The sequence below is a fragment of the Homo sapiens genome, chromosome 4 (assembly GCF_000001405.40).
Source record: "Homo sapiens chromosome 4, GRCh38.p14 Primary Assembly".
NCBI lineage: Eukaryota > Metazoa > Chordata > Mammalia > Primates > Hominidae > Homo > Homo sapiens.
The window spans coordinates 54,701,953-54,716,502 of NC_000004.12; the positions used below are offsets into that span (position 1 = coordinate 54,701,953).

The 14,550-nt window shown below is 38.3% G+C and overlaps 1 protein-coding gene across 8 annotated transcripts in view; it reads left to right on the forward strand.

Annotated features, from left to right (window-relative positions):
* The window catches only part of KIT (KIT proto-oncogene, receptor tyrosine kinase), an 82,759-nt gene that overhangs the window by 43,996 nt on the left and 24,213 nt on the right, over positions 1-14,550 (forward strand). For 4 of the 8 annotated variants that reach the window (NM_001385284.1, NM_001385290.1, NM_001385288.1 and 1 more), the window contains exons 5-7: positions 1,769-1,940; positions 5,146-5,335; positions 7,472-7,587. In NM_001385284.1, the coding sequence (NP_001372213.1) occupies positions 1,769-1,940; positions 5,146-5,335; positions 7,472-7,587 (478 nt within the window). The remainder of the gene's footprint in view (positions 1-1,768; positions 1,941-5,145; positions 5,336-7,471; positions 7,588-14,550) is intronic. The other 4 variants (NM_000222.3, NM_001385285.1, NM_001093772.2 and 1 more) reach the window with 1 other exon arrangement.

The window sequence follows — 14,550 nt, forward strand, 5'->3', positions numbered from 1 at the left end:
CAAACTAGAAAAGCCTTTAAAGATAGTTTTGTTCCCACATACCCTTTTAGAAACTAAAAGTTAAGACTAGTGATGCTCTTGACTTACCTAAGATCTCACGATTAGTTAACAGCAAAGCAGGTTTCTGTTCTTTTTAGTTTGAAACATTCAGCTTCAGCAGTCAACTTTTGTGTGTGGTTACTTTAATGTAAAAATATTTGTAAAACCTTAATAACATTAAAAAATAGGTATAATTCCACCGTCATAGATAGCAATGCTGTGTAATAGAAATACATGAACCTTATATGTAATTTTAAATTTTCTAGTAGGTACATTACAAAAAATAAAAAAGGTAAAATTGATTTTAATAATATATTTTATTTGACTCAGTGTGTCTAAAATATTATTTCATAATGTAATTAACATAAAAATTACTAATTAGGTGTTTTACATTTTTTTAAATATAAGTCTTCAAAATCCAGGACATATTTTATATTTACAACACAACTTACTTTGGACTACCAGATTTCAAATGCTTAGTAGTCCCAAGTGTCTAGTCCTTATAAATGCTATATAGTCTGCATTTTTTCATATTTTTTCTCTTTTCCCCTATGCATATGTATTATCAGATAATTGCAATTTTAAGGTACATTCAATTTGTGCTTTTTAAGTAGGTAAACACCTCTCTTATAGTCATAATGCTATACTTGATATACATTTAGGTCGTTTCTGAGTTTTTACCACAACCAACATATTGAAGCTTTTATTTTCTGTTGAGCAATTTCCTTGAGTTAAATTTGCTGCAGTTGATCAGAGGGTATGAACATCCTGGTAAGCTCCTTTCCAGAAGGATTTTTCTGATTTATAATACTGTCAGATGCTTTAACTCTATTAGGTTTACCAAAGCCTCGCCAAGGAATCACCCTTGATCTCATTCCATGTCACTATTAGCTCCTTTTACTTTAATTGGTTGTTTTTTTCCCCATTGTAATAGGAGTGTGTGTACATTACAGAAAATTTGGAAGATGCAGAAAGCTATATTAGACTTTCTTTAATCTTTTCAGAAAGCTGCTGTAGCTTATGTTATGGTTTCCCCATGACTTTTTAAATACAAGAAATCTCTCCATGTCTTGTCTGCAGACAAAAAATGAGTGAGATGGTGATATCACAAGGGTAAATTCACAACCTTTTCTTTTCAGCTCATGCTTAAATAATTTGGGCCTTGTTCTTAGATGTCTCTTATACCTTGGAACTCCCTTCAGTAGTTTACAAGATTCTGCTGGGTGAGAACTGCAGGATGAGTTTCCAAGCTAGTTGTTGACATTGTGATTCTGTTTTCATTCTTGCAAATAATAAATTTTAATAAAATAGAACATTATTGTTATTAGCAATGTGTTCGCTCTCAGTCATTGGGACATAGAAGAGAAAAAGACATGACAAAAATATGCTGACTCATATTACAAAATATCAGTATCCCATAATATTTCAGAGATAGCAACTTTTAAAATTTAGCGTTGTATAGAATTTGGAATTATACATACTAGGGTTAAGAAATGAATTTTCGTTTTTTTCCCAATCGTTAATAATGACTGTCTTTCAACATAATCCTGTAATATGAAGTGTTCCAATGACAGACTTGTCATGATGCTTTATTATTCTTACTTAAGTAGTGTATAATGAAAGTTAATATGGAGAAGTTAATTGCTGCTATTTTTAATTTATCTAGGAAAGATTCTGAATATAAATTATATGGTAATCTTCATTTTTTTTTCTCCTTTTCTGAAACCAGCAGACTAAACTACAGGAGAAATATAATAGCTGGCATCACGGTGACTTCAATTATGAACGTCAGGCAACGTTGACTATCAGTTCAGCGAGAGTTAATGATTCTGGAGTGTTCATGTGTTATGCCAATAATACTTTTGGATCAGCAAATGTCACAACAACCTTGGAAGTAGTAGGTAAATACCTCTATGGGAATGTTTAAATTACTGGCAGTAGTGAAAGAAGAAATTATTAGACAGTTTCTTTTTTATGTAAATGGAATGTTGAACAGATTCTTAGAATTTTGTTATCACTGAATGAATGAAAATTATCCTTGTAGCCTCTTGCAATGAAAGCACAAAACCAAATTCTACCAGTTTAGTGGAGGAAAGTGGAAAGCTGTTACTAAAATTGTTCAAACCTATTATTCTTTGTGCACCTCACCCTCCTTTCCCCACCAAACAAAACATAAGTTGAGATTTTTCAAAAATGCTAGTGCTCGCTGAATGACTTGAGTTTGGAAATGGATGTAGAATTTATCAAGGAACACAAATGCTTAGAGCCTGAAGTATTTCTCTGAAACTTTTGGTAGGGGCTGTGCCCCTTGGTTTATTGTTTTGCCACTCATCAGATCTAGTTCCTTCTAGTAAGGACTGAATTGGACTTTTCCTCCCTAGTATTCCCTACCTCCTTATCTCACCTGTTCTCTAAGCATAAAGATTATAGCATAAACCTTCAGGAAGGAGTGCCATTGGGACACAGGTCATTGGTTCTACGGAGCATAAACTACAACATGGTAATCTGTCCCCGGACCCCATCATATCTGGTATGCACAATTGGTTCAGCCTTATCTTCTCTACTCTAGAAATTTCACTAAATATTTATTTTCCAAGCATCTTTATTTAAAGAGAGCAGAGCATAGTGAGTTTCTTCATGCTTTTGATTTACTGAGAATAATAATAATTTTAAAATTACTTTGTTTACAATTTTTTTGTCTTTTGAGTATTGTTTGAATTTAATCCATTTTTCTGTCTTTTTAGTACAACCATATTCCTAGTGTTAGACTTTCATTAAATACTTCTAAGGTGGCAAAATTCTTGATCAAGAACAATAATAAAGTGATGCGGTATTTGTTTTCATCTCTTTCCCCGCCTCACCAAATTTCTTCAATAATTTATGTAGCAGTATTAAAGCTTTGTGATTATCCCACAATAATCTCGTAAAATTTTGGCGTTTCTGCCCATGTTATAATGGAAAGTTTCTCCCCAGACTGAACATGGAAAAGATACTTTACTTGCAATTATAGTCAGCACACAGAAAGTGTACTACTTTGTTCCTAAACATGATTGTGAACCATTTATTAATTTGAATAGAAGGCTATGCTTTTAAAATATTAAACTCCATAAGCACTAATTTGCTAAGTTGATTAGGGAGCATGTTGATATATCAGCTTCAGCTCCAGAAAGCAATTAGTAAGGATGTTTTGAGAACATTGTTGTATGTAATCGGATTTTTAAAATCCATTCATCAATTTCCAAGAATTATCACTGTATGACTGGAAGGACTTGTGGCTGTGAAACCTGAATCTGGTTTTGTATTGTTTTGAGAATGGGTTGAGGTGGAACAGGAACAGGAGGAGACAAACAGAAAAGTAATTTTTTAGTGGCTGGGAGGAGGGTTTGGATCCATGATGGAGTGATGAAGAGAACAGGGCTTTGGTATCACTCTTTTTTTAAGAAATTACTTTTTTATTGTATATTTTTAAGATATACAACATGATGTTATGGGGTACATATAGATAGTAAGAATATTACTATAGTGAAGCAAATTAATGTATTCATCATCTCACAAAGTTACCCTTTCTTTGTTTTTTGTTTTGTGATAAGAGCTGTTAACATTTTACCTGGTTTTGAATTGGAGGCTCTGCCTGTAATCCCAGCACTTTGGGAGGCTGAGGCGGGCAGATCTCTTAAGCCCAGGAGTTTGAAACCAGCCTGAGCAACATGGTGAAACCCCATTTCTACAAAAAATACAAAAATGAGCCGGGCATGGTGCCACATGCTTGAGTTGCAGCTACTTGGGAGGCTGAGGCAGGAGGATTGCTTGAGCCCAGGAAGTCGAGGCTTTAGTGAGCTGTGATCGTGCCACTGTGCTCCAGCCTGGGCAACAGAGGGATACCCTGTTTCAAACAAAACAAAACAAAAGATTAAGTGTCACAATTATTAAGTAAAAGGTATGCTAAAGTACTTAAAGCAGTTCTTAACACATAGTAAGCACATAAATGGTGGCCATAAAAATAATGTTAGCAATTACTTTATTGCTCTCTTTTTCAAGATCTTTTTTATATTATTATATCACCTTTTCTAAGGACTCCATTATTTATTTAACCGGTTTTCTATTTTGCCATTTTATATTATAATAGCTTATAATAGTGTAAATAGCACTTTTGTTTTTGGCCTGTAGCTATCTATCTCATTTTAAGAAGAGTTCTCAAATGGAAATTACAAGATTTAATCAAGGAATAGATAATTTAAAAAAAAATCTATATTGCTAAATGCTTCCTAAAAGAATTGTGCCAATTTACAGTGTGTAATTCAGCATACTACTTTTACCACACTTGCAAAATTATTGAGTTTAGTTAAAATTAGTTTTGCTATTTTTAATAAGTGAAAAGTGATGTCTTATTTTAATTACTAGTTTAGCTAAACATTTTTTCTACATTTTATTCTCCTTTTTCCTGTTACATTAATTATTTTACTATATAGACTTTTAAAAATATTTATGGATTTAAATTTGTCTTCTATGATGTTTTTCTTCTGTTGCTTCTAAAAAGCCTAGAAACTTCCCCTCTGTAGAAATTTCATAGGAGTCAATTGTTATTTAGTTAAAAATAACATTTTATTGTTAAAATGCTCTTTGATTTATCTGTGATATATAAGAAGACCTAAGGTTATTTTTCTTCAAATACTAAAGAACATTCTTTGAACATTTTTATTAAACATTAGGGCTCCCTTGTTTTCCCTTAATTTATGACACCTTATCACATATATAATTATATATTGGGTCTGTGTATGAACTCACTATTTATTCCAAATTCTTTTAACCTAATAAACATCAAGACTAGTAGATTTAGAAGACTTTTAAGATGGTGATAGATCTTTAAGAGAATTGCTTAAGAGGCAGAGATGGGAGAATCAGTATTTCAAATGTGTGTCCTTTCTCACTTGTGACAGTGATTCTACAAGAGCAAAATAAAATGAAAAACAGCTAGTTAAAATTCTCTTATTGCCAATTAATACTGGAAATCAACCAATTGTTTTTGTAATTCCAAGATGAGGTTCTGTTTTTTTGTCCAGTAGTTGTAGATAATGGTTTCTTTCTGTCTTATTTCATTCTAATTAGATAAAGGATTCATTAATATCTTCCCCATGATAAACACTACAGTATTTGTAAACGATGGAGAAAATGTAGATTTGATTGTTGAATATGAAGCATTCCCCAAACCTGAACACCAGCAGTGGATCTATATGAACAGAACCTTCACTGATAAATGGGAAGATTATCCCAAGTCTGAGAATGAAAGTAATATCAGGTAAGAAATGGACCTTGCCCTGGGGGATTACACATTACCCCCTTTTCCAGTGGGCTTATCAGATCTTATTTCTGTAACCCGTAAATCCACGAGAAGATACCTGGTAAAGAAGAAAGTCTGGGGCTGCCTCCTATGTCCTCATCCTAGTATTCCATTTTGTTGTGTGTTTAGAGCATGCACACTCTTGCACACGCATGCACACACACACCTGTGTGCCTCAGTTTTCTCACTTGTAAAATGGAGGACAGTTTTCTAGAGATCTGAGCTTAGCTCAAAGCAGTAACTTTCATGTACTCGGGATACAGCAAGTCTCTTCAGAGAAAAAGGGAAGTTAGTACCTATAATTGTTTCTTAAAGCTGTAAGAAAACTAAGAGCCAAATAACTTCGCTTCAGGCAGTGAACCCATGTTCTTTTACACTAGACCTCTCATTTGATCCTCAAAACATTATAGTAAAAATAGTAGCAATAGTAATACTTCAGGTAAGACATAAGTGCTTTTTTTCTGAAGCATGGTTCTAAGTACTTTACGTGTATTCACCCACTGACCTGAAGCCTCACAGACTTTGTGAGTAGACATTCTTATTTCCCACCATTTTTATAGAAGAGGAGACAGAGGTACAGAGGGGTGAAGTAATTTGACCAAGACCGAACGGCTAATAAGGGCTAAGTGCCTGGATAGGGTTTTGCTCTATTTTTCCAGTCAGGACTGTTGACTGTTGGAAAAATACGGGTGAGAGATGATAGCGTCCTGGGCCAAGGACTAAAGGTTGGAGGGAAGAGGATAAATTTGGGAGGTCTCCAGGTGATTGAGAGGGCAGGAGAGGCAGGGAGGAGTTGAAGATGCCTTTAGGTTGGGTGGTGAGAGACCATACCATTCAGGGAGAGCAGGAGGACGGGGAGGGACAAGTTTCTGAGGAAAGACAGTGACTTTGTTTTGGGGTTTGTTGGATTTGAGATTGATAGTGGGATCTTGAGTGGGATTGTTTAGGTAGGAAGTATCTTTTGCCAAACGCCCTAGAAGCAGAGCCTGAGACAGGGATTCTGAGGCAAGTGACTTATGCAGGGATAGACTGACCAGGGAGTAGGGGAAGAGGCATGGGAGGGAAAGGAGGCAAGTAAGGATGTGGCTCAGATGACCCCAAGCCTCAGTCTTATCCAGGAGCTGAGCGGGGCTTTTGCACCTCTCCAGCTATCAGTCACTTACTGGCTGCAGACCTGGCTGCACGGTCAACGTCTTCCAAGGATTGCGCAAGGGCAATCCTTGGGAGAATGCTGCAGGCAAGTGTTTGGGGGCATGAAAGTAGCTCTGTAGAGGAGACATGGTACAGAGAACCCTGCGCTGGAAGTAAAGACGTGAAGGTTGTGAGCCAGCAGCCAGCAGCTCAGTGTGAGAGAGTGGGCTGCCCAGGGAGCTTGCATAGTGTGAGAGTTGGCACACCGCCTATGGCAAGTTGGTGTTGTGGCCCATGTGGATCGTGTGGGTCGTGGACTGCCCAGGGTGACACATGTACATCGGAGCCCCTGCCAGTAACCCCGACAGGGTTGTAGGGTGCTCAGTGTACACAGCCCTATATGGCGGTCCTGCAAGAAGTCAGAAGCTTGAGTGGCAAATACTGCCAGGAGCACTGAGAAGTCTCCGGGGTGGAGGAAAACCAGGAGATGGGGGTGTTGCAAGAAGGAAGGTGAGCAGTGTGGACCTCGCTGAGGGCCCAGAGTGTCTGTGTGAGGGCAGTGAGCATGTGCATGCAGGGCAGGTGAGTTCAGGACACTGTGGAGAGCAGGCTCCTGCAGCACCATGGGCAGGGGAGGAAGTGGTATGCGGACAGCCCAGGGTGGTGGGGGGAGGGCGGAGGCGGGAGGCGGTGGGCCAGTGGAGAGGCTGCAGCCTCTGTCAGGTTGCCTTTGTGCTTAACCTTTCCCCACTCTGTGGTCTCTCACAACAGGCGTTGGTCCCAGATGGAATATGTGTGTGCGTGTTTATGTATTTGTTAATGTGGATTTTGCTAATACTTACTGAATTAAATGAGTTATATTTTTCCTCAAACAGGCATAGATTTCCAGGTAGAAACTGAAAAAGACATGCCTTCCAAGGCATGCTATCCACAGGTGATTGACTAGTTGTCTTTTCTTTGTAGATACGTAAGTGAACTTCATCTAACGAGATTAAAAGGCACCGAAGGAGGCACTTACACATTCCTAGTGTCCAATTCTGACGTCAATGCTGCCATAGCATTTAATGTTTATGTGAATAGTAAGTAACATGAAGGGCTCCTTTTAATTTTTTATTCTTTTAAAGTTGTGGCTCGTGTTTGTAACAGCTGCAAGGACTCAACTTGTGTACTATGTAAATAACGTTTCATGATAATCTTGACCTTCACAGAGACTTCGTGGTTTGGTGGTTAGAGTGTGTCAAAAAACCAGTTCCTTGTCCTACATTTCACTGATCACATGACCTTGTAGAAGTTGCTCAAATTCTGCGTGCTGCCTTTGAAGTAAACAGAGGAGCCAAACAAGTTGAACATACAGTTGTTTGAGGGAAAATGTATTATTATTGATTGTTGGAATGGGGGGCTAGTGGTTGAATAGGAGCTGAATTACTGCGTTAGGTAGGGAAGAGATGCTATCGAGCCCTGACGTGATTTCTTTGTTCAGTGCTGTCTCTTTTGAGGCTGTGATGTTACTTGTGTTTAGATTGTTCTTCCACTGAGACAAATGCAATACTGACAGGCCCATGGCTCACTACTGAGTACCATGTGGTATGTGGGAGAAGGTAGCAGATGGTTTAGGATGGGAGATGGCCATGGGCACCTGAGCACCCAAGTCCTGCACTGCTGGGGTCCTACCGACCCCACTCCTGCAGCCCACCATGTCTTAGAGAAATGTCTGCTCTGAAGTTGAGGCCAAGGGAGCCCGATCATGAGCTGGACCTTTTGCCAAGTGCAGGGCTTCTTCCTGGCTCCACTCTGGGCCCCGTGTGCATTTCCAAGGAAGGTGCCTCCCACACCATACCTGCTAGTGCAAGGGAGGCCCCTAAAGACTAGGAGTTCCAAGGGAGTGGCCCAATAAATGACTATTGGAATTGGCTTTCCTGGGTGTGTGGAGGATGAGGAGACAACTGGAATATTTCATAGAAAAGAGCTTAGGCGTTATGCTGGGCACTTTATGTGTGTTGGGTTATAGGGTGTTGTGGGAACAAAGGACTGGGGCCAATTCCTTGTCTTGAAGGAGCTTACTTTCTGTACGAGGTGTTGTGGTTTTGTTTTTTTTTGTTTTTGAGACAGAGTCTCTCACTCTCTCTCCCTGTCTGGAGTGCAGTGACATCTCGATTCACTGCAACCTCCACCTCCCAGGTTCAAGTGATTCTCCTGCCACAGCCTCTTGAGTATCTGGGACTATAGGCATCCCACCACACCCAGCTGATTTCTGTATTTTTAGTAGAGATGGGGTTTCACCATGTTGGCCAGGATGGTCTTGAACTCCTGACCACAAGTGATCACCTGCTTCAGCCTCCCAAAGTGCTGGGATTATAGGCATGAGCCACCGCGCCCAGCTAGATGTTTTGTTTGTTTGATTTTGAGACAAACATGTTTTTGTTTTCAAACATGTTGACAAACATGTTGAGCCAGCATCTGTCTCTGTCACCCAGGCTGGAGTGATCATAGCTCACTATATCCTTGTACTCCTAGGCCCAAGAGATCCTTCCGCTTCAGCTTACCAAGTAGCTGGGAGTACAGGCATGCACCACCACGCACAGCTAATTTTTAAATGTTTTTTAGAGATGGGGGTCTTGCTTTGTTGCCTAGACTGGTCTTGAATTCCTGGACTAAAGCGATCCTTCTGCCTTGTCCTCCCAAAGCACTGGGATTACAGGAGTGAGCCACAACACTCAACCTGTGTGAAGTGATTTTACATAATTGTCTTATTTGATGCTACAGCTCAGGAAAGATGGTAGGGTGGGTGGTGTAAGCCAATGAAAAGAAATAGCTGGACAGATTTTTTATTGCTAATCCAGAGTCTTTTGACTATGAACATTTCAAAAATTGTGTTTTCTGAATAAGACATTCATATGAGTTTAGATGAAGAAGGTCACATTCGTGTAATTAAACACATATCTTTATTACTGGCCTTCCCAGAATCCTAATATGCTAATGTGACTTTGCCAGAGGGGGCCATGGGATAGGATGTATATATCCCAAACTCGTTTGATCACACAGTTCTCCCTTTTCAAGGGAAACATTAATTATTATCTGAGTTCCAGCAAACAGTTTTGATTACATAGCATTTCTCTGGTCCTCAATTCAAGTATCTCTAGATTAATTTCAATGTGAATCAGAAAGTAATAGTATATAGAGGCTGGACGCGGTGGCTCACGCCTGTAATCCCAGCACTTTGGGAGGCCGAAGCAGGTGGATAACCTGAGGTTGGGAGTTCGAGACCAGCCTGGCCAACATGGTGAAACCCCTTCTCTACTAAAAATAGAAAAATTCAGCTGGTTGCGATGATGAGTGCGTGTAATCCCAGCTAGTTGGGAGGCTGAGGCAGGAGAATCACTTGAACCTCAACCTGGGAGACAGAGGTTGCAGTGAGCTGAGATCTCACTGTTGCACTCCAGCCTGGGCGACTGAACGAGAGTCCGTCTCAAAAAAAAAAAAAAAAAAGATAATAGTATATAGAGCTTAGTGTATTACCCATGGACAAAATTACCTGCTTCTGAAAAGTCTTAATGTTCATCTCATTTAAGAGATGACCGTAGGTAAATCGGTATCCTTGCAAGCATAATATGCATATTGTTCATACAGAATTTTATTGTGGCTGCTCTTGTGTGATGCTTCTCAACCTTTCTATGTTAAAAGACTTTCTTTTCTAAGATTCCCAATACATTGTGGATCAATACTTCTTGTAAAATATAGTAAAAACCAATTACTGGAAAAGTGAAATGAAAAAGAACAATATACAAAATACAAGCTCGGGTTTTTTTATTTTTTAGATTCAATAGATATAACAATTACTCTTTGTCAAATTGCTCCTCCTCAGTGCTTCTTCTCAGTTTCTGTATTTATCTCCTGTGCACCAGCAACAGCAGATCGTGGGTGGGGCCCACTCCACAGACCTCACTTTGAGAGTTCAGTGGTTGGGAATTTTATGAAGTGAGGTACTTTGTGTTACCACTGTTTCCCTGGCTTTAAGTCCAAAGGGGTGTTTAAATGTGTCTCTTTTCTTCTTTTTTCATGCTTCCATTTGCCAGTGTGTGGTCTGCCAGTTGGTCATGAGATATTGACCTCAGGAAGATGTTTCTGACTTTTCTCTGGTGGGGGCAAAATTGCTACTAGGCTAATTTGCCATTCCAGCAGGCTCAGTTTTAATCAGTGCTGCTGGTGAACCCATGCTTATTTGAAACTAGATAGGATATGTTGTTAGCCTTCCAAAAGGATATCTTCTTGGATTGCCTGTAAGTAGGAGGTCTTTTCTGCATTCTAGGGTATGGGTCTCTAATACCCACCCAGCACTTCCTGAGGTCCCACTGTATTTCACTGGATATACAGATGAGGATCATGTTGGTCCTGACCTCAAGCTCTTCAGAAAGTCTTTTCCTTGAAGTTAGTTTGTTACAAATAACAAACTGACAGAGGCATTTATTTCACTTACCTAACACGTTGGATTTATTGATTTGCAAACGTTTGGACAGAGGTAGTAGCATTTATGTTTGAGCTTTAAACTGTCTATGAGGTACGTCCCAGTTGCTCTTTAGAGATATAGTTAGCTGATTTGTTGATTTTTTTTAATTGAAAAAAAATCTAGTTAACATTATTATGTGGTAGTATTTTTAAAAATTTTATTTCAATAGTTTTTGGGGAACAGATGGGTTTTAGTTACATAGATAAGTTCTTTTATGGTGATTTCTGAGATTTTGGTGCACCTGTCACCCAAGCAGTGTACACTATACCCGTGTATAGTCTTTATCCCTCACCCCCCTCCCACCCTTCTTCCTAGGTCCCCAAAGTTCATTCTGTCATTCTCATGATTTTGCATCCTCATTGCTTAGCTCGTGAGGTAGGATTTTTTTCATGTTAAATTTTAAAATCAAAAGCTAAAATAATTCTACAATTTTAAACTTAGAATAGTTGTGGCCTTTTTGACATCATTTTAGCTGAGCCAGTTACATATGTAGGTGTACTGTATGGTTTATTTTGTAAATAAGCTGAGCCTCAAGGACAAAAGGGATTGTGTTCTGCAAAAATCAGAATTGATAAAAATCAGAATAATGAATGCATAGTGTTTGTTAGTGCAGAAATTCAGCCTACTTTTACTCTGTGACACTAATGCGTAATTGCTTAATAGATTCATCTGCAAGAAATGCTATTGAAAATCCTTGATTTGGCATGGTTAAATATTTGGCGGTTGAAAAATCTATTTGTTTTGAAAATTCCACATGTAAATTTCAGTATAGTGAATGTGGGGAAGGGGCATGTTTTAATTGCTTATATGGTAGACTTTTAAAAAATATTGTGCTCTGACAATTTGTGTTAAGAAAACACGTATATAACATGTTAAGCTTGAAAATGTTCTAATACTGTTTCTAACCTCTCTAATCAAGCCATGATTTACATGGGCCTATTAAACTGACTCAGTGACATTTAAGGTGGTTTATAATGGCCAAGAGCCATTATAACATGGTTGCCATCTTTGAGTAGAACTTCTAGTGGAAACTGATAGGAATTTTCATTAAAAAACAAAGCAAAACCAAAAATTAGTGATTATATCTGCATTGAATTTGCATTACTCTAATTAACTTTTGGAATTGCTTATCCAAGATGTGTATGGACATCAAATTCTTAGATCTGAAATGTTTGATATCCTTCAGCGAAAATGGTGATTTGTTTTTCTTGGAAATGAAAATCAGGAAAAAAGTAGAGTTTTGAAACCTTACCTCAAAGTGCTTTCTTAATAGACATTAACCTTTCCAAAACTCTTGGAAATATTAGAAAAAAATGACATTGCCAAGATGCTATGGGTAGCTTATGCTACTTATTTAGGAACTGATGGCCTCTTTGGTTATATTAAATGTCACACAATGAGGTTTTTTTTTGCCAGATCCAGGACAAATAAAAGGCCAAATATGCACTTTAATCCTAATATATCCATTTGGCTTTTTTCCCCACTCCATCTAGTATTTCTTGAATAAATAACAAACTTTATAGTGGACTTAAAGGATAATCAGTAAAGTAAATATTTTGTAGGTTTATTTTGGCTTCAATTTTAAATACCCATGTGAATCCTGAAATAATTTACATAATTGTAGAAATAAATTATGGTTGATATGATAAACCAGTTGTTTTTCAAACCTTTGGAATAATTTTAAGAAGATCCTGTAACCTTAAAGTGGATAGTTCAAAACATGATCTGGTAGCATTTCCAGGGCGGTATTATGCATTTAAAATATGTGGCAAACGGTATTTACGGATCATAAATAGATCCCGCTCCCATTTTGAAAGCTTATCCTTTAATGACGAGCTTCAGCCAGTGCGGTGGGAGTACTGTGATCCTCACGTGGTGGTGACGGGGAGGCAGACATTGAGAACTGAAGGGCTCCCTTTGATCATTAGCCTTACATAGGATGCCTTTAATGTTGAGCTAGATTGGAAGCCCAAGTGACTGCTGAAGTGCACCAAATTAACTCAGAAGTCACCAATTTCACTCCATTTATGGAAGGGTATTAACAGGGGGTTGAGAAACAATTTAAGGAAATGTTAAATAATGTATTATTTCCAAATCACTGCATCATATAATTAACATCCTACCTGTTGTTAGCAATTATTTATAGGTCATACAGTATACCAAAATCAGCCAAAGCAATAAATCACCCAGAATAAGGCTTCTCGATGAGAAAGATCCCCTTTGACCAAGTATGCAAAGTCTGGGCTACCTTTTAGTATTTTTGGTTCACAGTTAAATCCAGTTATGGATGGTGGAACCAATTCTAGGGAGAAGCTCCTGCAGATAAAGCACATAGCCATCTAGCTTTTGGCCAGCCAACCAGAAATGATCCCAGGTAGACTATCAGTGCATTTGTGTTGCTGTTAAAAAAAAAAAAAAAAAATGCCCGGGGCTGGGTGATTTATAAAGAAAAGAGATTTATTTGGCTCACATTTCTGCAGGCTGTAAGAAACACCTGCTTCTGGTGAGGGCTTCAGGAAGCTTCCACTCATGGTGGAAGCGGAAGGGGAACAGGCATCACATGGCAAGAGAGGAGGAAAGAGAGAGAGGAGAAGAAGGGTGCCAGGTTGTTTTTAAAAATCGGATCTCGAGGGAGCTAATAGTGTGAGGAGTCACTCATTACCTCTAGTACAGCACCAGGCTAATCATGAAAGATCTGTCCCCATGACCCAGACACCTCCCATCAGGCCCCACCTCCAGTATTCAGGATCAGTTTTTAAACATGAGATTTGAAGGGGACAAATATTCAAACTGTATCATAGACCCGTGAAAGCCAGCCATATAGATGGCTTCACCTGTTTGCCAGCTCTCTGGGTCACCCACCTGGCTGGAATCTCCAACTACCTTTATCCAGAGTAAAATAATAACGGCAGTCTTGCCTGCAAGGACTGCTCAGATTTGGTCCTTAAGGCCACTGTGCCCTTCAGGAAGATCCTCACAAAACAGAGCAAAGTTACTAGAACTTCAACTTTTTTGGAAGATGGCAATGTCTTCCCACCACTTAACCTATTAGCTTTTTCTTTCCATTTTTTAAAAAAATAGTAGGACCTTTCAAACACATGCGCGTCCAAACCATACTTGTGTTAGAGGCCACAAATTTGAAGACTTGCTGTTAATTTTTGCTTGAAAGTCTTTGCTTTTCAGTGTTTTCCCCATTAGGTGGATACTATTAGCGTGACTTCCTCTTATAGTAAATAATTGTAAATTTTAAACGTTAAATAAAGTGCCGAATAGAACTCCTTTCTGATTTATTTACTTGCTTTTGAGAGTTTGCTCTAAGGCTGCAACAGTAACTGGAACATAGCTTCGTTTGTGTGAACATTTGTATGCTGCATGTTTTTAAATTAAAACAATTTTTTCTCATTACAAAAGCATTATGTGAAGGGTAGAACAATTAGAAAATGTAAATAAGCAAAAATAAAAATCAAGTTTTATTTTTACTTTTTATGTTTATTTACTTTTTATAGGTTACCATTACTAATATTCTTTATTATACATT